This window comes from Homo sapiens, chromosome 2 (assembly GCF_000001405.40).
Source record: "Homo sapiens chromosome 2, GRCh38.p14 Primary Assembly".
Taxonomy (NCBI): Eukaryota; Metazoa; Chordata; class Mammalia; order Primates; family Hominidae; genus Homo; species Homo sapiens.
The window spans coordinates 111,340,236-111,363,942 of NC_000002.12; the positions used below are offsets into that span (position 1 = coordinate 111,340,236).

At 42.9% G+C, this 23,707-nt stretch overlaps 1 long non-coding RNA gene across 7 annotated transcripts in view; it reads right to left on the reverse strand.

Moving 5' to 3' along the window:
• Positions 1–23,707, reverse strand: part of MIR4435-2HG (MIR4435-2 host gene) — a 299,296-nt gene that overhangs the window by 144,370 nt on the left and 131,219 nt on the right. For all 7 annotated transcript variants that reach the window (NR_136164.1, NR_136163.1, NR_136162.1 and 4 more), the window contains one exon: positions 3,826–4,002. This is a non-coding gene — a long non-coding RNA (MIR4435-2 host gene). The remainder of the gene's footprint in view (positions 1–3,825; positions 4,003–23,707) is intronic.

Sequence of the window (23,707 nt, forward strand, 5' to 3'; positions counted from 1 at the left end):
AGTTTTTTAATAGATGTTCTTTATGAGGTTGAGGAAGTCTCCCTCTATTCCTAGTGTATTTGAGAGGATTTTCTATTTTCATCATTAATGGGTGTTGAATTTTGTTAAATAATTTTTTGTTGCCAACTGCTATGATTATATGGTTTCTCTTCTTTAGCCTGTTGCTATGATAAATTTTATTAATTTCTTTTCAAATATTGAATCAGCTTTGTCTACCTGGCATAAATTTCACTTGGTCATGGTGCTTTAGTCTTTTTATACATTGTTGGATTTTGATTAATTACATTTGATTGGTGGTTTTTACATCCAAAGTTCATGAGAGATATTGATCTGTAGCTTTCTTTTTGCATACTTTCTTTAGCTGGTTTGGGTATCAGAGTAATGACGGCTTCATAAAGAGAATTGGGAACTTCCTAATTTTCTCTTCTCTCCTATTTTCTGGAAGATACACATAGAATTGGCATTAATTTTTATTTGAATGTTTGGTAAAATTCTTGGATGAAACCCTCTGGACCTGGAGATTTCTTTTTGGGGAGTATTTTTATTATAAATCCAATTCTTAGAAATATCTACACAGCTATTCAGATTATCTGTTTCACCTTGGCTAAGTTTTAGTACTTTGTGGTTTTTGAGGAATTAGCCCATTTCTTCAAACTTGTTGAATATATGAGCATAAAGTTGATTACAGTTTTTAAATTATCTTTTTATAGCTAAAGACATCTATTGTGGTGTCCCCTATTTCATTTCTGATGTTGGTGATTCATGTCTTCTCTCTTTTTATATTTGCCATTCTTGCTAAAAGTTATTAATCTTATTAATTCTTTTAAAGAGACAACTTTCTGTTTCATTTTTTCTTTTTCCAGTTTTCAAGTTCATTAGTTTCTGCTCTTTTTTATTTCCTCCTTTCTGCTTTCTTTGAGTTTATTTTGCTCAACTTTTCTAATTTCTTGAAGTAGAAACTTAGATTAGTAATTTGAGATCATTCCTCTTTTCTAATGTAAGCATTTACTCCTATCAATTTTATTCTCAGCACTGCTTTAGCTAATCTTACAAATTTTAACATGTCATATTTTCATGTTCATTCTTTTCTTGTCTTTTTAAAATTTCCTTTGAGATTACCACTTTGACGCATGGATTATTTAAATGTTTTTTGTTTAGTTTCCAAGGGTTTGGAGATTTGCCTATTGACTTTCTGCCTTGATTTCTACTTTGATTTTATTATGGCCAGGTAACATAGTCTGTATAATTTCAATTCTCTTGAACTTTTTAATGTTTGTTTTATGATCTAGGATATGCTCTATCTTGGTAAATGTCTCATGGGACCTTTAAAAAAATGTGTATTCTGCTGTTGTTGGACAGATTGTGCTATGAATGCCAATTAGATCCTGTCAGTTGATGGTGTGGTTGAGTTTTTCTATATTCTTGCTGATTTTCTTGCTAGTAGTCCTAGAAGTCCTGAGTGCAGGGAGACAGCAGGGATTGATGCCTCAACCACAATTGTGGATTTCTTCTTTCAGCTGTCTTAGTTTTTGCTTCAGACATGTGAAAGTCTGTTGTTTGGTTCATAGGTATGTAGAGAAAATGCTCACTAACTGTGTTTTTCTTTTACTGTCACACCACAATCATCAACACAGAAGAAAGGCCCAGTGACTCATGGGAAACTACTGTATTAAAAACTTGCAGCTAATGTTTTAAATTAACCAGAAAAAACACAAAAGTCAGAACACTGCACCAACAGATAGAGCCCTGTGCCTTTATAAAAGAAAAAAAATATTGCCTTCTATACACTCTCCCTCACCATAAAGATAATCCTCTGGTTTTCTCCTAAGTAACCAGAGAGTGGATACCCCACACCGCAAAAAAATAAAATTCTATTTGTTGAATATCTTTTGTCTTAAAGATAACAGCTCAGGAAAAATAGACTGCACTTAACATGATTTATGTCATTCCTTTTTTGTGCCCTTATACGATATGAAGAAAGGCTTCTGTGTTGATGTTGTCATGGTGTGACAGCAGAAGAAAAACACAGCTAGGGAGAGTTTTCTCTACATACCTATGAACCACACAACAGACTTTCACATATCTGAAGCAAAAACTAAGACAGCTGAAAGAAGAAATCCACAATTGTGGTTGGGGCATCAATCCCCCACTGTCTCCCCACACTCAAGACTACTAGGACTACTAGGGAGAAAATCAGCTAGAATATAGCAGCGGACACCAGCTGGGTGTCCTCCAATGCAGTTCTGACACTATCTACCCAGAGATAGAGTCAGATCCCACAGGTTGAAGGTTCAGCCCCCAAGACTGCCCCCATACACACACCAGTTGTAAGTCTGGGCCTCCACAACTTCTGACTAGCCAGCTTCAAGGTGGGGTTCCCATGACCCCCTCTTTGGGTTTGATTAATTTGCTGGAGCAGCTCTCAGAACTCAGAGAAATGCTTACCTATGTTTACGGGTTTATAATTAAAAAATATTGCAAAGGAGACAGATGAAGAGATGCCTAGGGTGAGGTATGGAGAAAGGGTCACGGAGCTTCCATGCCCTCCCTGGGTGCACCACGCTCCAGGAACCTCCACATGTTCAGCTATCTGGAAGCTTAACAACCCTGTCCTCTTGGCTTTTTATGGAAGCTTCATGATGTCAGCATTCCTTCCCCCAGGATATAGGGTGGGACTGTCTCATGGGAGGGTCTTAAGATCCACAATGAGAAAGGCAGAAAGGTGGGAGAACATTAGAGTGAAAGGAAGGCAGGAGAAGGTCAGAGGCCTGTCCCTGAGGCCTAACACCCCCAACAATATAACAAAAGACTCTAACACGGGATGTGGGAGTTATGAGCCAGGACCCATGGATGAAAGCCGACATATATCATAACATCACAACAGGAGAGCTACATCTTCTTGGTGAATTAATTCTTTTTGTTATTATGTAATTTCCCTCTTTGCCTATAGTAACTTTCTTTGCTCTGAAGTCTGCTTTTTCTGATGTTAACATAGCCACTTGTGCTTCCTTCTGACTAATGTTTACACGTTATATCTTTTTCCATCAATTTGCTGTCAGTCTACCTATATCATTGAATTTGAAGTGAGTTTCTTGTAAACAACACATAGCTGGGTCATGTTTTGTAATACACTCTGCCAATCTCTGCATTTTAATGGATGCATTTAGAACATTTACATTTAAGATAATTATTGATATATTAGGACTAAGTCTGATATTTTATTATTATTTGTTCTCTGATTGATCCTTTTGTTTATTACACTTTTGTTTCTTTTTTCTTGCCTTCCTGTGGTTTACTTGGACATTTTTTGATGTTTCATTTTGATTTAATTGTGATTTTTTTTTTCGGCATATCATGTTATGTTGTTTCCTTAGTGCTTATTATGTTTGGAAACTCTGTAGATGGACAGCCTTCCATGATGGGGAGGAAGCTGCAGGGCCTGGGTCTCCTTATGCCACTGGATGGAGTCTGGGGAGACACAGGGCTTCACAGTGGCTGCTTCTGTGGGTGAATTAGGCCATGTGCTGTGTCTAAGTTGTGGACTGGGGGCCAGGACTGTCCAGGGCTTTGCTGCTGCTACTATTGCTGCTGATGCCACTGCTGGCAGATCAATCTCTCTGCAAGGACCCTGGGTTGTACAAAACAGGGGCTAGAGCTTCCTACTGGGTCTCTGTTGGGGCTCCCCTTTCCTGAACTTTGGCCAAAGACAACAGGATATTCTTGGGGGTTTTGTTGTTGTTTTGTTGTCATTTTTTCTGTGCCTGTTGGTGATTCCAGCACAGCCCAGCGTATATGGGAGACAAAAAGAAAACTTAGAAAACTTACCATGTTGCTGTTACTCAAGTCCTGAGGTTTCTTGCAAGTACACCTTTTCTTCTAGCTTTCAGAGCCCTTTATCATTGTCTGCTGAATAGTTTCCAAGGTACTTAGTTGTATTTAGAGGAGCAGAGCAGGGAAAAATGAGTTTAACCATCTTGTTCCAGAACTGGAAGTCGGCAGAGCCTGTTTTAAAAATAATGTTTAAAACAAATTTTATTTCGTGGGTGATTTTCCAGAAAGCAGAAAAAGTACTATCGATGGCACTTCCTATAATAAAAACTACACCCTATGCTTTCTTGGAAGGAATCAATTGCATTATTCAACAGTCGTCTTCCTCTGAACCTGCTCTGCATTTAGTCAACAGGATATTGAATTCCTTTTAAAAATCTAAACAGATTATCACTTCTTTCCTGAACCAAAAGTTGATTAGTAATGTAAATACTTGTCTGTAACACAGAAAACTGTGTTTTCTTTGAGCTCTTCCTATTCCGTATCCCTTGTCTTGAATGAGGAGTTTTTCCTTTGGCACCAAAAGGTTACAACTACATTTATCTACAAATAAACTACCATAGAAGAACTGGAACTTTCCTAATTATCAATGTTTAGCTGCACTAATAAAGCTTTCTTATATCTGTGTTCTCCTTGTTTCTTGTCTTGGACCCTTGCCTGACACAGATAGGATGGGCTTTCAGCCCAGTGACTCACGGGAAACTACTACATTAAAAACTTGGAGCTAATGTTTTAAATTAACCAGAAAAAAACACAAAAGGCAGAACACTGCACCAATGGATAGAGCCCTGGCCCTTTATAACAGAAAAAAAAATACTGCCTTCTATACACTTTCCTTCACCACGAAGATAATCCTCTGGTTTTCTCTTAAGTAACCAGAGAGTGGACCCTCCCACAAAAAACAAGTTCAATTTGTTAAATATCTTTTGTCTTAAAGATATAGCTCAGGAAAAAGTAGACTGCACTTAACATGATTTATGTCATTCTTTTTTTGTGTGCCTTATATGATATCTCATGACTTGGAAAACTCCTATAAATATGTAAAATATTAGAATGTATAGCAAAAAATTGTCAGTTTACGTTATTTTTGGCTTATCTCAGTACAAAGATTAATGTGGTAAAATTGAATATTTATATCCTTAAGATAAAATTGAATGTTCCAATGTGAAGTAACATATTTTCAACTACATTTTTTTTTTCTGAAATCCCTTTATCACCACAAACTCTATCTTTAAAAAAAAAAAAAAGTTCACAACATATACCATTTTCTGGCTCTACATGAAAAGTTTATTGTTTGTGTGCAGGGTTAAAGAGAAGCCAATAAGTTAACATGTTATATTTGACATGGGAGCTGTTCACTCCAAATTTTAAGAAAAGCCAGAAAAATCACGTACAGGCAACCAACCAGAGCGTTAAAATGGCCTTTTGTTAATTGTTAAAAATCTGTATAGAAGTACATTTTTTTTTAATTTGTAAAAGTGGAAGCAATTTGAGTCACTTTAATTTACAGCATGAATGGAAGATTCTCGGAGTCATCTATAACCTCAGCAGAAAATGTGATTATAAAAGTTTATAAAAACCCCAGTTCCCCAGAGAGCTATGAAATGAGCAGAGTGCAGAACATATTCTATCAGTCTCTTGAAATATTATTTGCCCTCTTAACTGATAAGGCAATGGAGGAAGAAAGTAAGAATGTAATACAAATATGAAAAAGTGACTACCTTTGCCTGCCTTCAACAAACCTAACTTTAAATAAAATAAGAATAATGAACAAATCAGCTAAAAAAGAAAACAGCTTTTCCCCTAGTTTCTTTTGAAGTGAATCTCCCTTTACTTTTTTTAAATTTCTTGGAATCCTACAAATTAAGGCTTCCTTGGAAATGAATGAATTTTTTAGAATTTCAAGACTCAAAAGATAAACAAAGAAGTCTGTTTTTCTTCTCTCACCCACCCCAACCCTGTGAATAACCCCAGGTTACAGCCTGGGTTTCCCTCTGTTCTTTATGTCTATCAGGGGTTTTAGAGCTGGGGAGGTCAGTGGGGGAAGGATGGGGAAGAGGGGGAGGTGGGGAAAGGAGGGAGAAGGGGAGAATAAGTGGGGTGGGCTCATCTCAGAGTGAACCTCGGCTGTAGCTGGGTACAGGATGTCACACGCATGCCTGCACACACAAAATGTACACAGTGAAACCGGGCAATAGAACTATTAAAAAAAAAAAAAAGAAAGAAAGAAAGAAAGAAAATGTACTGCTACATCAGCTAAAAACAGTCGTGTTCTTTCCTGGTTTGATGTCAGCTCCCAGTACTGGCTTGGAATTGCCCACAGCGATCTTGGGCCCCTGCCCACTCAGCAGGCAGACGGCTTTCCCTGCCAGCAACAGGCTTTTAATAAAACAGGATGCTGTCCCACTACTAAGGCCCAGCCTGAGAATGGATCCCAGTCCGTGTGAACTCCCTCTCCAAGAAACAGCAGTTCTGTGTTCCTTATCAGGAAACCCCACTTTGGCGTTCCTGGCCTGGGAGAAAGGCCCCTCTCCCAGGGACTTGCTCAGCAAGTGTTTGCAGGCAGCCGCTGGCCCCTGGAGCTGTCTGCTCTGCAAGGTTCTCACCACAGTGAGCTTGCTCCCGCAGGGACTTCTCATTCTGTGCGTGTGTTTCAGCTTTTAGGAAGGCTCTGTCTGACTTTGATAGTCAAGCAGGATGGGATTTAAAATAAGGAGCTGGCTTCTACAGGCAGGATGAGGACATTTCGCCCCTATCTTCCTGCAGCAAACCCCAGTGAGTCACGCCAGGACTGCACTTGAACTGACTTCTCATCTTAAGTGTGAAGAGTTTTATCATTTTGGGGAGGCTCACCCGTCTATTTGTTTACTTCTCATTTGGAATGAAATGGAGTATGTTCCATTTGGAGCAGCAATTTCTAATTTTTTTCCAGCTGCAGTTTGACAAAAGTCCAAACTAAGGAGTAAGATTCCACGGCACCTTCCAAACCCTGGAGCTCCATGGCTGCAGAGCCCAGGACCACCTTTCCTTGGCTGTATACCACCCTCTTGTCCTAGGGTAGAAGAACTGTGATTCTGAAAGTTGTCCCAGAGTATTAGCCCCAGCCCCACAGGCACCAGCAGGATCCCTTTCGTGCCACACTGTCCTGTACAGAGGTGGCCGAGTATAGCATGACATCACAGACTGGGAGACACACATGCTGTCAGGAAGTGGACTTAGATGACATCCTATGACAGTGAATTCCAATGGGAAAGAGAAGTCATTGTTGTTGATAGAGAAGGCTGGACAACCTGGATTCTACCCCCAAATCTGCCCTGACTTCCTGTGTGGCCTTAGACAGCTTGATAGATGTGTGACTCAGTTTCCCCATTTTGTAAAACACAGAGCAGATTGTTAAAGGACGGGCAAATAACTAGCTCATATGCTGTCACTCCCCCTTCCCTCATCCACTCAGACATTGGGAATCACTCCCAGCACTTTTCTTCCTGTGTCCAGATGTGACAACCCAGTCAGCCACAACCAAACGATCAGAGACAGCCCTGGGAGCAAAGGCTTGTGATGGTTTCTAAGGCTTCTTCCAACTCTGACCATCCATAAGTCCCAGTCTAAGCCCAATACATTTCTGTTTACTTTGAAGTTCTGGGGAGGAAATTGGAGGAATTGGTGTTACAGGTGGTGTTTTCATTCCTTCTCTCACTGGAAGGTTGTGAGTTTGGAAAAGAAAAGGAGAAAGAGGAAGTACATGGAGGGAACATCTGGGCATGTAGATGGTGTCACAGTGGAGAATTTTGTCTCCTGGACTGCAGCCCAGATCCACCTCAGAACAGCGGGGGCCTGGCAGGAAGCAGGAAGTGCTGGCCCAAAGCTGGGAAGAGCAGAGCATGCTGCAGGAGGCCAGCCCATGAGACCAGAAAAAGTGCAATTGGTAACTTCAGAGGGAGGAGTGAAAAGAGCCCAAGTAAATCTATAAAGCCAGGGAAGATAGAGCACAGCACAGGAATATGAGCTAGGACTCTTGAAAGCAGAAGGAACGACCCTTGCTGACTCAAGCAGGGAGGGGAATGAATTGGAAGCTATGAAGGAGCTTGTGAGGTCAACAGGGGTGCTGGATTCTGAGCTGGAGAACCAGGTTCAACTGGGACAAGAGCGCTCCACCATCAAGCGCCTCTACAGGGAACAAACAGCCTGCTGTCCCTCCCCCTGGGACCACTCAGCTCAGCTCAGCTCAGGACCACCCTGGGGCAAGGGAGGAGACACTGTGGACAACTTTCCACTTCCACGCAGGGGGAAAAGCACCTGGATTTACCATGAAGACGGCGCCCAGTGAGAGAGTAGTGCCACAAAAGGACATCGAATTGGGGAAAGAAGAGGCAGTGGATTCCAGGCTGCTGAAAAAGCAATGCCCGGCACTGTGTATAACACAGAGGTGTCACACACAACCACAGCAAGTGACCAGACCAGGTCAAGAGTCAGAGAAGTTAGCAAGCAAACATTAAATCCAATCCAGCAGGCCTGTGGGACAAAGTTAGGAGTAACTCCAAGGTCATTTGCCAGGTGTGGAAACCCATCTGGGAGGCTCAGTGGGGTCAGAGGGTAAAGACAAGGCCGATTAATTACCAGCTCTCAGGAGCGAGCTGAGTGGAGCATGTGGAGGAGTGCAGAGGATGTCGCAGGCAAGAGTCAAGGTCAGGAATGTTCAGACCGAGATGAATGAGGGAATAAAAGCAGGCACCTGTGCACAGGGCTCGGGGTTACCCATCTCAATTCTGGTGGGGTCTCCCTTGCTAGAAAAGAGCTGCATTGAAAGGCCCAGCTGCCCCTTAGCTACAGAGTGGAGGAAGTGTCCAGTTTGTGTCAGCAATATCACTCGCAGTCAGGAAGGCTCATGTGCTCTCTTCTCTGGGAAAGCAAGTCTTCCAAATTCAGTTTGGCAGAGCACCAGTTTGCTGAGATAGGAGCCAAACCTAAGCGCTGGGGTCCTGCTCCCCACCATGGCTATGCCAAGCTGGAGGCTGCTGCTGCGCCACCTCCTCCTTCCACACAGAGCGTCAGAGGAACCAGATGGACACAACTGAGTCCTGAGGACATTACCAGGGCTGTGAACCCAGCTGTGCCGAAAGCCAGGTCTACCTTTGGATGTTGCTTGATGGTAATTCCTAGGGGAAACTTCTCTGAGCAACAGATTCTCTTTTCGTGTTTAAGCCAGTTTGAGGTAGTTTTCTGTCACTTATAACCACAAAGTGTGTCAGGAATAGGTAGATAATAATATTAATACTAACCACAACTAAGCACTATTTCCTTCAATCCTCATAACAACTCCAGGAGGTAAATTCTGTTATCATACACAATTATATCAAATTGAAGAAACTGAGGCTAATGTCCTAGTGCCACACAATATTAACCTGGAGGGCTGGGGCTAGGGAGTCTGAACACACACAGATCCCAAGTGAGAAAAGAGATTAGGAGAAAACCCCAAATTCTGCATATGTATCGTCAATAATCCTGAATAAGCCCAGTGAGGACCAAAAAGAGGAAATAGTTAGAAAAATCCAGTGTGGGCCACACAGGGTACCACTGGTGATCTCAGACTTTCAGAAAGGCATACCCAGAAGATAAGAAGTTGACATGGAGTCAATACCGGGGTTGGGGGGGCCTGAACCTGTGAGAACCACACTGGGAAACCAAAAGCCCACACCAAGCAGAGGCTGAAAATAGGCCCGTGATCTCAGAAGGGTTTTCAAAGCTATTTGAAGAGTGGGACAAGAAAGGGATTACACAGGAAAGATGCTAAAATGTAGAAACTTGAGAAAAAAAAAAAAAAGGAGGCAGAGCCAAGTAATTTCAACTTCACGTCTCTCTCTTCTAGTTAGAAAGATGCTCTTCCAAAAGGTGGACCCCTGGCCTGGTGAGAAGACAGCAAGGTGGTGCTTGGATGCCCTACACAAGTTTAACAATGAAAACTCTTCGATGACCTGGCAGCAACACAGAAACTCAACACAGGGAAGCCCTCTCCTGGGCAAACGGTCCATTTCTAACATTTATAAAAATGGTCAATTGTCGATGGCAATCCCTGAGGGAATATTCTAGAACTACTGACCATCTAGATTGAAAATATTTCAGAAAAAACATAGGGTACAACATGGGTTCAGTACCCCCCAAACAACCATAAATCTTTCATGATGGGGTGATTAATGCTGACCAGGTGACTCTGGTAAGTACTGTATACCAAAAATAACCTCAGCAAGCAGCTGACAGTTTTTCAGGATAGTCTTGTTTTTGAAACGGAGGAATATGGACCAGATGAAAATAAGATAAGAGGGATTCCTAGCAAATTGTAAAATGATGCCCAAATGAAATGATGAACTTTGAAGTCTTATGAAGGGGGACAGTGCCAGGGGTCATATTCCTTCCACTGGCCCAGCCTTAACAGTGTCCTTGAAGGTGAACTTGGAGATGTCCTTTCAGACGCTACTGATGGGGCAGGAATCAGAGCAGTGGGGGGTTGTGGTCAGGATTGAGTGAGCTGGGTGTGTGACATACATACCATTGTTAGGCTGTTGCTCTGGTACTGGCCACCTCTACGCTGCCTGGTGCCCTGTCTTTGGGGGCACAAGACTTGGATCCCCATCTCATCTCCCCATTATAGTTTTGCAATATTCGTCAAATCACTCCACCATTCTGGGATTCAGTTTCCTCATCTGTAGATTTGAAAAAAGATGCCAAAGGCACTTGTGTCTACTGTGTGGGTAACCAGAAGCTGAGAAGGACAATGAATGCAATAAATAACCAAATCATGAATGATTCAAATTCATTTCAATAGGACCGAATATGAGGTCAAACCAACAACACCCAGAAGAATTTAGTTGGAATATATGTCAAGAAAAACACAGTATTAAAAATGCAGCCTGGCACAGTGGCTTACATCTGTAATCCCAGCACTTTGGGAGGCCAAGCTGGGTGGATCCCCTGAGGTCAGCAGTTCGAGACCAGCCTGGCCAACATGGTGAAACCCCATCTCTACTAAAAATACAAAAATTAGCCAGGCATAGTGGCTGGTGCCTGTAATCCCAGCTACTCAGGAGGCTGAGGCAGGAGAATCATTTGAACTTGGGACTCGGAGGTTACAGTAAGTCAAGATCTGTTGCAGTAAGCCAAGATCATGCCACTGTACTCCAGCCTGGGCAACAGAGTGAAACTCTTGTCTCCAAGAAAAATAAAATAAAATAATAAAAATAAAATGCAATCTTAAAGAACATGCCAGGCAGGGCCATGGCTATCTTGACTTGACAGCTGCCTACGTGAAAACAAGATTTGGGAATAACCCAGATGTCCAACAACAGCATGTGAAAGCGCTTAAAAACCAAAGTGACCTGGGAAGTAGCAGATAGCTCTGAAAGCTGAGAATTAGGGGTCAGTTTGAATATTTTCACACCTGGAAATATAAAAGAAAATTATGCTACAAGATGAAACAGCAGACGGTAAATACTGCCTACTCGGTAGATAAAGTTATGTAGAAGTGTTAGATGCAAATTTAGAGTGATTGGCAGTCTTAGGGAGAGATACTTTCTCTAAAAGTTGTACCCTCACCCCCAGAATAAAAAAAAAAAAACAACGAGATTTTAGTTGCCATGGGTTTAATGTCAGTCAATAATATGAGTACTAAAAGTCAATGTGGCTTTATTTTGTCTCGGTGGAAGTGTAATGTCTCTGCTGGTATGTTCCCCACAGGGCTCATGCCGGTACCAGGTGTGGCAGATCTGGTACCTGGATAAGGATATAGGAGCTCATCCAGGTAACAGGTGTGTTAGAACAGGAAAGGAGTGTAGCCATCCCACACAAGCTTGTTCCAGTACATCTGGACTGCATTTTTTTTTTTTTTTTGAGTCAGGGTCTTGCTCTGTCACCGAGGCTGGAGTGCAGGGGTGCAATCATGGCTCACTGCAGCCTCAACTTCCTAGGCCCCAGCAATCCTCCCACTTTATCCTCCTGAGTAGCTAAGAACACAGGCATGTGCCACCACTCCCAGCTAATTTTTGTATTTTTGATAGAGACACAGTTTTGCCATGTTGCTCAGGCTGGTTCTTGAACTCCTGGACTCAGGCCTTCCAAAGTGCTGGGATTACAGGTGTGAGTCACCACACCCAGCCTGGACTGACTTTTTCAGAAGGAAACTAATGATAACATCCAGATAGATTAATTAATTCAATGCCAAAAATGAACCCACTGCACAATTAAAATAAAATAGTAGAACTGAACATTTATCTATACTTGATAGGAATGAAAACTTTCTAAGCATAAAAATAATGGGAATAGTCACACAGTAAAATACTGATAGGCATACAAGATTTAAAACTTTCTAGTCCTAAATGACCATAACAACATTAAAAGGCAAGAAGAAAACTGGGGAATTTACCTGACAGATAGTGAACTAATAATATACATGTGTGTATACATAGGACAAGGCTAACAGAAAAATGGGCAAAAGCCATCAACAGGCATTTTGTAGGAAAACAAATGCAAATGGTCTATAAGAAATGGAAAGATGCTCAAACTCAAAAGCAACGAAATAAATGCAAATAAAAACAGTAAGCTAACATTTCTCTTTCAAGATGAATAAGAAAATCATGTATGCAAGGGTCCAAGTATATGAGCAACAGTGCAGGGGAGCACAGATTACATGCACTGGGCTTGACTGTCCATGCTGGTCTCACTAGCTAGTTGTCTTTGGGTAGTTTATTTATCCTTCCACACCATCATGTCCCTTGTCCATTAACTGAAGATTATCATAACTCTGGTCTCACAGTGCTATTAGGAGGATTGGCTGAGATTACTCTAACCCAGTGGTGACACTTAGAAAAATTGTTTTTTCTAGTTAGAAGCAAGCAATCAGGGAATACTTAAATAAATCATGATATATTTGTTAGATGAAATATTACACAGACATCAAGCATATTGTTAAATGCATATTGTTGAAGGCCATTTCCTAATAAAAAATGTGATAGATGTCATGGTCCCAATATTGTTATGAAAAATTCCACACACACTTTTTTTATATACAGAAAAACATGGCTAAAATGTTGGTTTCTTTCTAGTGGTTTTGTCTGGTGATGGGATTATAGGTGATTTTTTTTTTTTTAAGAAAAACAAAATATGTAAGGACAAAAGAATTTGGAAAATGGTATGGATACCGTACAAAGCCAAAACAAAGCAAAAAATCCTCCAACGGGTCCTGAGAATGGCATTTGACTTGTTTTGATTGCTAGAAACTTTGTAATGTCTGACACAGTTGGAGGAAATAGCTATGTGTGGCCTAGAAGAGATAAGCTTTTTCGGGGGCTGTGACACCTATCTGTATATATTTGATGGATGTCATATCAGGACATGTCCCAATTTTGTTTTCTGAAACAGCACATCACCTGCCTCTCAATGGCAAGACCCTCTAGGGAAAAAAAGACTAGTGAGTCCTACGGAACTTGGAGCCACAATCAGGCCTTCGGGGAGACTCTCACAGCTACTGGTGGGCATCTTCATCCACCAGGAGAGCAGCAAGAACCTATCTATTCTAGGGGTCCCATGGAAACGTCTCCTGCTCTGCACAGAGCTTGGGTTTGATAACTTCCTTCCCTCTCTTCTTCCCTCCCTCTCTCGCTTTCCTTCCTTCCTTCCTTCCTTCCTTCCTTCCTTCCTTCCTTCCTTCCTTCCTCCCTCCCTCCCTCCCTTCCTTCGTTCCCTCCTTCCTTTCTCTTCCTCTTTAAGATGGGAACCTGTGAAATGATGGGGCAAAGAGGAGAAGCCAGTGTAATCATCAGCAGACTCAACAGTATGGAAGGGAGTTTGACACCATCCCCAGGAATGTTCTGCTTTAACTAAAAAAAAACCATTGGATCCACTTCTGAGATCTGCCACCTTGCCATTCCATGACACCTTGTAGCAGGACAAAATTCACCCAGAAGTTGCTTTATCACAGTTCAGTAGATTTAACACATTGCTCGAGGGACTAGCTCTGTGAACAGTCATCCCCATGGCCTCAGGCATCTTATGGAGGTGCCTCCCACCTTCTTAGTTGCTCTTCCTGCCTGTCTTTCACCTGCCATTTTTTCTGTGCTGGGTCACACCTGCAGCTACAGAGGGGGAGGTCTTTCTGTCCTGCAACACTGGGATCAGAACCTTTTTACCTGGTTGAACAAGTAAGCGGTGAGTTGCTGAATGCAAGTGCCAGATATTCTTGTATTATTACGGTTAATCCTCACAACAGCCCTGTGCAGAAGGTTCTTTCAATATCCTCGTATGAGACTCAGAGAAGTTGTCACTTGAACAGGGTTGTAGGTTCAGCAAGGGTAGCACTGCAACTTGTACCTCTGAAGGCGTAGAAGGTCCAGAGCAGAGCAGTCTTGGACCCAGGCACGTGGAGGGGGACACCTGCGGTTCCCACCATCCAGGATCCAATCCCCTTTCTCCTGGCCCAGAATGCTCCCATGCCTAGCCCGACACTGTGTAGATGGAGCTGCCAGATCCAGAGATGGACAAGTGGCCCAGAACCACTAACCAGCCCACTCCACATCTGAGTCACAATGACCAGCCCAGGATGAGCAGCTGGTCTCATCATTGCCACTCCCAAGACACCTGCCACCTGGGCTGCTGAGAGGACAGGCTGTGCACCAAACTGCTGGCAGCCACTTCCCAGCCCCATGTCTAATGAGTTTAATGATGCCATTAAACTCAGCTGGTCTTGAGCTTTTCAGAAGTAAACCAATATCTTTCTTTCTTAAGCTACTCTGAGGTAGGCATTTCCCCTCACAGCCCAACTGTCTGGACTTTTATACAGATAGGGCCAGCAGTGTGACCAGTCGTCATCAAACCATGCAGGTCTGCCTGCGAGGGAATGGGCAGTGTGGTGTGGAGGAAGGTTTAAGAGGTTATTTGAATGGGAAGTTGCTGGCAACTCTTAGGTATTCTGGAGGTGTTAATTGATGGTGAAGCATTTATGACCAGGACACATTTCACAGCTCTGGGCCACCTAATGTTACTTCTCCTCAAAGCAGGTTTGAAATAAAACCCAACCATTGGCCTTTCTCACCCCACTGCAATTAAATACAAACACCCACAGACACTGGGCCCTCTCAGGCCCGGATTGCGGCTGCCAGGGACACAAGTGCACGGTGGCTGTGTGCTGTGTCACAGCACCACCACACTTGAATTTCCAGCCTCAGAGCCTGTCTTTTGGATCAGCGAGAAGTTGTGGGTGACAGCCTCGTGCCAAGCTCTTGGTGGGCTCAGCTTGGCTCTCTGCTTCTTGGCTTTTACAGCAGGACCCCAGAGTGGAGAACAGGCTCATTCTGGTTTCATGGAGCATGCTCCCTGCTGTCACCATGAAGAAGGTGGCATCTTGGCTCTCAGGGGCCTGGCCAACTGCCCGCAGACATTACCAGTGAGTTGCCTTGTCCCTGGGCACAGGCACTGGAGGCTGCCCTGGCCACTCAGGAAGGGTTTTCATCTCCCCTCTTGGCCCTCCCTCTGGATTCTAACGTGAGGCAGGCAGTCAGGCAGTCCTAGCAGAGGGCCGGTCCTGTCCTCCCTGCGGGGGCCTGGGCTGTCACACAGGCAGTGGTGGTTATTCTTACAAACGGCTAAGCAGACTTTTTTAGAAAAGTGAGCTATTAATAGCAAAGTGCTGAGTGAGAGGCTTGGAGCTACTCCCGTGCATGAACTTGTGTGAGCATGTGTTCACGAGTGTGTGTAAGTCTGGGGGAGCGCGTGCACAGGTGTGCACATGAACACACGGACACCAGGCAGACAGACGCATCCCCTTGCAGTTGTTCACATGCACTCCTAGTCTCCTGGTCTGCCTGGAATCCCATTCTGGAACTGGCCTGCCCCTCTGACTTTTGGGACAAGAAAAGGCCGGGAGAAAGTGGCTGCCTGCCACGCAAGACCAGACATCTGGGTGCCCAGTGTAGTAAGCGCGCTGCTTCCTGGGGCAGAGATGCTGCCCAGCGAGATGTGTGTGGATCCGTTGGTAGGCATGGAGACAGTTGCTTCCTTTGCCTGTGATGCTGTGGACCCTGAGAGGCCCAGCCTGGACATTGCTTTTTGTGCTTTCTTCCCTGGCTTGGGAGGAAAGGACCCTGTTGGCTAATGCATGGCAGAAAGCACAGCTTACAGATTTTCTAGTTATGCCCAAGATGAAAGAGGACTTTCTGAAAAGAAGGAAAAAGATGGAGAGAGAGAGAGAATGAAAGCGAGAGAGAGAGAGAAAGAGAGAGATTAAGGGTTGGGGGAACTGGAAGGAGCCCTGAGTAATGTATGGAAAGTAAAAGCACAGAACACTCAGCTCAAGCAATTGTTTTTCTCCTGGAGGCTAAAATTCATGGGCAGGTAGCCAACAGCCACATTAGGATAAGAAATATAATCTGTTTATAATAAGTTTGCAAAATACCGCTCGTTGGCACAGTGAATGTGCAGGACCCCCTAAACTGCCGTGACACTAGCCTTGGCCTGCTGTCTGAGGCAAACACACCGGAGCTAGTAGGTCACTGCTGGTAAAGCCTAAGTCCCCTGGTTGCCTCCTTTCTCAATCATCTATTTCCCTCTGGGGCAGATAAGCACATTCCCAAAAATGACAGCTGGAGTGTCCAAGAGCCAGTGGAAGCCCCTTTTCCCTCCCTTGCTGGAGCTACCATCGCTACCATTGCAGAGACTTGAAATGACCTCTCCAGGTCGGAAGGCACTCCAGAGATCACTCGACCCCACTGATGCAGGAAGTTGGGTGTCTGCAAAAATCCTCCTGCAAGGCCCTGGCCTCTGCCAGATCACTCCCACTTCTGGGCAGGGTGCCAGCCTGGGCAGCTCTGGGCTGCCTGGCCCTAAAACACATTGTTGTCTTTCCACTCTCTGCACTTTGTATGTCTGTAGTGCCTGCCATTTTTCAAAACAATAGCGAATAAAAACAACAGCCAGCATTTATTAGGCATTTACTGTGAGCCTGGTATTGTCTAAGTACTTTATTTGCATCATCTCATTGTACCTACCCAGCAACCCTCTAGGGAGATACCATTATTATCCCGTTTTACAGACATGGAAATGGAAGCTTAGAGGGCTTCAACAATTTGTCCAAATGTCCTCCATTCGTGGGATTTGTGGTACAGTGTGGATTTGAACACAGGATTTTTCAATTCCAGAACCCATGCTCCTCCCATCATACCCTGCTATGCTCTCCCTCCTACATGGTGGTCCACAGAAGGCTTCCCTCCCAGCTACACATCCCAGAACTGGCACAGGCATATCACTACCTCCATTTCTGTCCTGTAAACTAGAGAACAGCTTTATTCTAGAACCTCCCTCTGACCTCTGCAAATTCTGTCCGTCTGTTCAGAATTGAACAGATGCTAAAACATTGTGGCTAAAAGCAAGAGCATCAGAATCAAACAGATCTGGTTTAGAATTCTACTTTAGCCTCTTGCCAACCTCGGGCAAATTACTCAACCTCACTCAGTCTCCAGATTTCCATCTGTAAAAACAGAGAGAGCACTTTACTACCTAACAACTCCATGGGATTGTTATAAGAATTAAAATTAGATAAAACATAAAGAGCTCCCAGGCTGTATTTGCAGATGAAAGGCAGCTGTGCTAAATACATGGTGACAAACGTGGTAAGTCTCAAAGGACATGTGAGCAGATGTCCTACCATCAAGATTTCACTCCTTCCCCAACTTCAGGGGTAAGAATCCTCCAACATCAGGGGAGGACTTGCTCAAAGTCACACAAACCAGAAATCCTCAAGAGGCCATACTATGGATGTGGCTTTCTAACACTATTCTACCAGTTCCCATGGGGAAGCACCTGAAGAAGTGGGGACGGAGTGGGCAGGGAATCGGGGAAGTGCAGGGCCATGACAGGACTGAAGCCGCACTTAGGAAGCAAAGGACGAGTTCTGTCCACCAATAGCTGAATGCTGAGTACAGACCTCTAATCTCGGCCTTGCCACTGAAGACTCATCATGCAACTCTAGGGCCAGTTGCTCCCTCTCTGGGCCTTGGGTCTTCACTACCATCAACAGCTGACTTGGAAGTTGCCTCTAAAGTGTGCTGAATTATCAGGAATGAAGATGATTTAAAGACATAAGCTTTTTTCTTTGTACCTTCTTCCAACCTTACCTTCTCCAAGAACTCTCCTATGACTTCCTCCTAAAAGGTCCCTGTATTAGTCCACTCTCACATTGCTGTAAAGAAATGCCTGAGACTGAGTAATTTGTAAAGAAAAGAGATTTAATTGGCTCACAGTTCTACAGGCTATACAAGAAGCATGGCTAGGGAGGCCTCAGGAAACTTACTCATGACAGAAGACAAAGCCAGAGCAGGTATCTTCACATAGCCAGAGCAGGAGGAAGAGAGAGAGGGGGAAGGTGCTACACACTTTTAAACAACCAGATCTTGTGATAACTTACTCTTACTATGGCAATACCAAGGGGGCTGGTGTTAAGCCATAAGAAACCACCCCCATGATCCAATCACCTCCCACCAGGTCCCACCTCCAACACTAGGGATTACAGTTCAACATAAGATTTGGGTGGGGACACATATCCAAACCATATCATTCTGACCCTGGCTCCTCCCCAAATCTCATGTCCTTCTCACATTGCAAAATACAATCATGCCTTCCCTACAGTCCCTCAAAGTCTTTTAACTCATTTCAGCATTAACTCAAAAGTTTAAAGTCCAAAGTCTCATCTGAGACAAAGCAAGTCCTTTCTACCTATGAGCCTGTAAAATAAAAAAGAAGTTAGTTACTTCCAAGACACAATGGCGGTATAAGCATTGGGTAAATATACCCTTTCCAAAAGGGAGAAATCAGCCAAAAGAAAGGGGCTACAGGCCCCATGCAAGTCCAAAACCCAGCAGGGTAGTCATTAAACCTTAAAGCTCCAAAATATTATCCTTTGGCTCCATGTCCCACATCCAGAATATGCTGGTGCAAGGGGTGGGCTCCCAAAGCCATGGGCAGCTTGGCCACTGTGACTTTGCAAGGTTCAACCCCCACAGCTGCTCTCATGGACTGGCATTGAGTGCCTACGGCTCTTCCAGGCACAGGGTGCAAGCTGCTTGTGGCTCTACCATTCTGGGGTCTGGAGAATGGTGGCCCTCTTCTCACAGCACTACTACGTAGTGCCCTAAAGAGGACTCTGTGTGGGGGGTCCAACCCTACATTTCCCCTCTGCACTGCTCTAGTAGAGGATCTCCATGAGGGCTCCAACCCTGTAGCATGCTTCTGCCTGGACATCCAGGTTTTTCCATACATTCTCTGAAATCTAGGTGGAGGCTTCTAAGCCTCAACTTTTAAACTATGTGCACCCACAGGCTTAACACCTCGTGAAAGTCATCAAGGCTTATGGCTTGCACCCACTGGAACAGCATCCAGAGCTGTACCTTGGGCCCTCTTGGCCACAGCTGGAGCTGTAGCAGCTGGGATGCAGGAAACAGTGTCCCAAAGCTGTGCAGGGGAGTAGAGACCCTGGTTCTGGCCCCTGAAACTATTCTTCCCTCCTGGGCCTCTGGGCCTATGATGGGACGGGCTGCCATGAAGCTCTCTGAAATGACTTCAGGGCCTTTTTCCCATTGTCTTGGCTATTAGTACTTGCCTTCTTTTTAGTTATGTAAATTTCTGCAACCTGCATGAATTCCTCCCCCTGAAAATGGGTTTTTCTTTTCTACCACATGGCCAGGCTGCAAGTTTCCAAACTTCTATGCTCTGCTTCCCTTTTAAATGTAAGTTCCAATTTCAGATCATTTCTTTGTTCATGCAAATAAGCATAGGTTATTAGAAACAGCCAGGCTACATCTTGAATGCTTTGCTGCTTAGAAATTTCTTCTGCCAGATACCCTAAATCATGACTCTCAAGTTCAAAGTTCCACAGATCCCTAAAGCAGGGGCACAATGCAGCCAACCTCTTGCTAATGCGTAACAAAAGTGACCTTGCTCCAGTTTCCAATAAGTCCCTCATTTCCAACTGAGACTTCATCAGCCTAGACTTTACTCTTCATATCACTACCAGCATTTTGGTCATAACAATTTAACAAGTCTCTAGAAAGTTCCAAATTTTCCTTCATCTTCCCTTCTTCTTCTGAGTCCTCCAAACTCCTCCAACCTCTGCCCATTACCCAGTTCTAAAGCTGCTTCCACATTTTCAGTATCATTATGGTAATACCCCACTCTTGGTACCTATTTTCTGTATTAGTTTATTCTCACATTGCTATAAGGAAATGCCTGAGACTGGGTAATTTATAAAGAACATAGGTTTAATTGGCTCACAGTTTTACAGGCTGTACAGGAAGCATGGCTGGGGAGTCCTCAGGAAACTTTTACTCATGGCAGAATGCAAAGCCAGAGCAGGCATCTTCACATGACCAGAGCAGGAGGAAGAGAGACAGAGGGACATGCTACACGCTTTTAAACAACCAGATCTTGTGATAACTTACTGTCACTGTGACAACACCAAGGGGGATGTTGTTAAAGCATAAGAAACTGCCCCCATGATCCAATCACCTCCCACCAGGCCCCACCTCCAGCATTGGGGATTATAATTTGGTGTGAGATTTGAGTGGGGACACAGATCCAAATCATATAAGTCCCTCCCCTGACCATCTCCCTAAGTTCCTCTCCCTACTTCCAGAGCTAAAATGACACCCTGCCTACCTCTGGACCAACTGTAATGCCCTACCCACTTACCTGGCTTCTTTTCCGTCATAACAGGTATTCACTAACTGATGTTTTTGTCTTTTCCCTCACTAGCATGTCAACTGCACCAGGCCGACTTACATTTGTTCTCTTCCCCACTGAGCCTTGAATGATTCCTGGCACAGGGAATAGGCCCACTAAATAAGGGTTGAGTGAACAAATGAATGGATGAAGAAATGACTTCTTATATCATTTACGAAAATTACAAACTCGGCACGTCAGAGCTGGAGGTGATATTTTCAAAAATTATTACCACGGAACCCTGTGTTCAGATGAAAGTTTATTCACACCATTTTTTAAATGCCCCAGATTAAAATGGCTCTCTTTGGCTTTATTCATACTAGCCAAAACCTGGAAACAGCTCAGATATCCATCAATAGAAGAATGGATCAACAAGCTGTGGTATATGCACACAACGGAATACTACTCAGCAACAGAAACGAATGACTTATAAAACTTGCTAAATATGAAAAACATTAGGCTGAAACAAAGAAGCCAGACAGAAAAGAGTGCATGATATCCCTTCTATTCATACTGCATTCTAGAAAAGATGAAACTAATCTAGGAGGTGTAAAAAAACAAAACAAAACAATGTTTGTCCCCGCGAGGTGGCTGGGGAAGGGATTAGACTGTGAAGGAGGAAGAAGGAACTTGTGGGGTGATGGATGAGTTCTGTATCTTGACAGAGGGGTGGGTGGTACTCATCAAATGGTGCACGTAAGAATTGTATATTTCAATGTACCTAGAATTTTCTTTTTATTTTTTGAAATTTGTTTTCTTTTATTTTACTTTTAGTTCTGGGGTACATGTGTAGTATTTGTAGGTTTGTTACATAGGTAAACGTGTGCCATGGCAGTTTGCTGCACCTATCAGCCAATCACCTACTTATTAAGCCTGACATGCATTAGCTATTTTCCTGATGCTCTCCCTCCCCTGAACCCCCACCTGCAGTGGCAGGCCTCAGTGTGTGTTGTTCCTCTCCCTGGTTCCATGTGTTCTCAGTCTTCAGCTCCCACTTATGAGTGAGAACATGTGGTGTTTGCTTTTCTGTTCCTGGGTTAGTTTTCTGAGGATAATGGCTTCCAGCTCCATCCATGTCCCTGCAACGGACATGATCTCGTTTCTTTCTACGGCTGCATAGTATTCCATGGTGTATATGTACCACATTTTCTTTATCCAGTCTATCACTGATGGCCATTTTGGTTGATTCTATGTCTTTGAACATTTGATTTTTTAAAAAGCCTTACCACATCCATTACAATTGTAAGGTTGCTCTCTAATATGAATACTCTGATGTTTCCATTTTGATGTTCAGGTAAAAGCCTTAGCATGCACATTACATTTCTGTGGTTCCTCTCAAAGATGTATATTCTGCTGTCTAGTGAGTTCTGATGCCTGGGCAAAGCCTGACGGCAATGTATGTATAGTTTTCATCTCACACAAGAAAAAGAAAAATATAAACTAATGTTGAGCTGTAGTTAATGATATGCATACTGAAATGTGTAGGGTCATATATTTGCAACTTCTTTTGAAATGTATCCAAAAAAAGAAATGAGGAGCTTCTCTTCCAGAAAGCTGCAGTAGACATACTTGTCCCATTGCTTCTGCTAAGCGCCACTAAAAAGTGTAGATGTTATATAAAAAACATGCACAAGAAGACTCTGAAAGATGGAGAGAAGACAGACTGTCTAGAGATCTTGAGACTGGAGGAACAACATGGTGGAGAGTGCCCTGGTTTCTTTCTGTCTTGTATATCCCAGATATATAGTTGAAGAAACTGAACTCAGAAATTCCAAATGAGACCAAGAAGGCCCCAACAAAAGCCTGCTCTCTCCAGCCTAAGGAGCTGGACAGTGGCAGCCCAGCAAGACAGAAAAGCTTTGGGCAATAACCGCTCCACTCTAGCCAAACACCACTTAAAATACCACAGCCCCACCCCAATCACAGGTCCTTCAGGAATAAAATGGAAATAAAGGCATTCTCAGGAGAGGGAAAACTAAAAGTGTCTGTCACCAGCAGACATACTATAAATGAACAGCTAAAAAAAAGTTTTCTAAACAAAAAGCAAACAGTAAAGGAAGGAATATTGGAGCATCAGTAAGGAAGAAAGAACATATTAACATATTAACATAATAGTAAGCAAAAATATTGGTATGTATAATAGACTTTCCTTCTTCACTGGACTTTTCTAAATTATGTTGACAGTTGAAGTAAAAATTATAACTATCTAATGTGATCCTAAATATATGCAGAGAAAATATTTAAGCAATTATATTATAAACAGAGAGGATAGTAGGACGTAAAGAAAGGTAAGTGCCCTACACTTCACTTGAGCTTGTAAAATGACGGCACTAGAAGATTGCATGTCTCAATAGATGCAGAAAAAAATTTGATAAAACTCAACAAACGTTCCTGATAAAAAGTCTAGCAAACTAAGAATAGATGGAAACTTCTTCAACCTGCTAAGGGAACATCTATGAAAAGCCTATAGGTAACATCATTCTTAACGGTGAAAGACTGAGTGTTTTCCTCTTAAGATCAGAAACTCTCACAAATTCAACATTGTACTGAAGGTGCTATCCAGTGCAACAGCAAGAAATGGAAACAAAAGAGATTGAGATTGGAAATAAAGAAGAAAAGCCATCTTTATTTGTAGATGACATGAGTGTGTATGCAGAAAATCCTATGAAAAAAAGACTACTAGAACTAAAAATGTGACTTTAGCAAAAATATAGAATATAAGGCTAATGTACAGAAATCAATTATGTTTCTATATACTTGCAATGAACAACCGGAAATTGAAATTTTAAAAATACCATTTATAGTGGGTCAAAACGTATAAAATAGGGCAAATGTGATAAAAGATAGAAAGATCTATACATTGAGAATTATAATGTAATTGCTAAAATAAATTAAAGAAAACCTAAGTAGGTTCATAGGTCAAAAGACTCAATATTTTTAAGGTGTAAATTTTCACCAAATTGATCTTAAAATAATTTGAATTGTAAGTTCTCATTAAATTGATCCATAAATTCAATTCAATCTTGATCAAAATTTCATAAGGGCTTTCTTTTTGGTAGAAATTGACAAACTGATTCTAAAATTCAAATGTAAATGGAAGGGACCTAGCACAGTCAAAACAACTTTG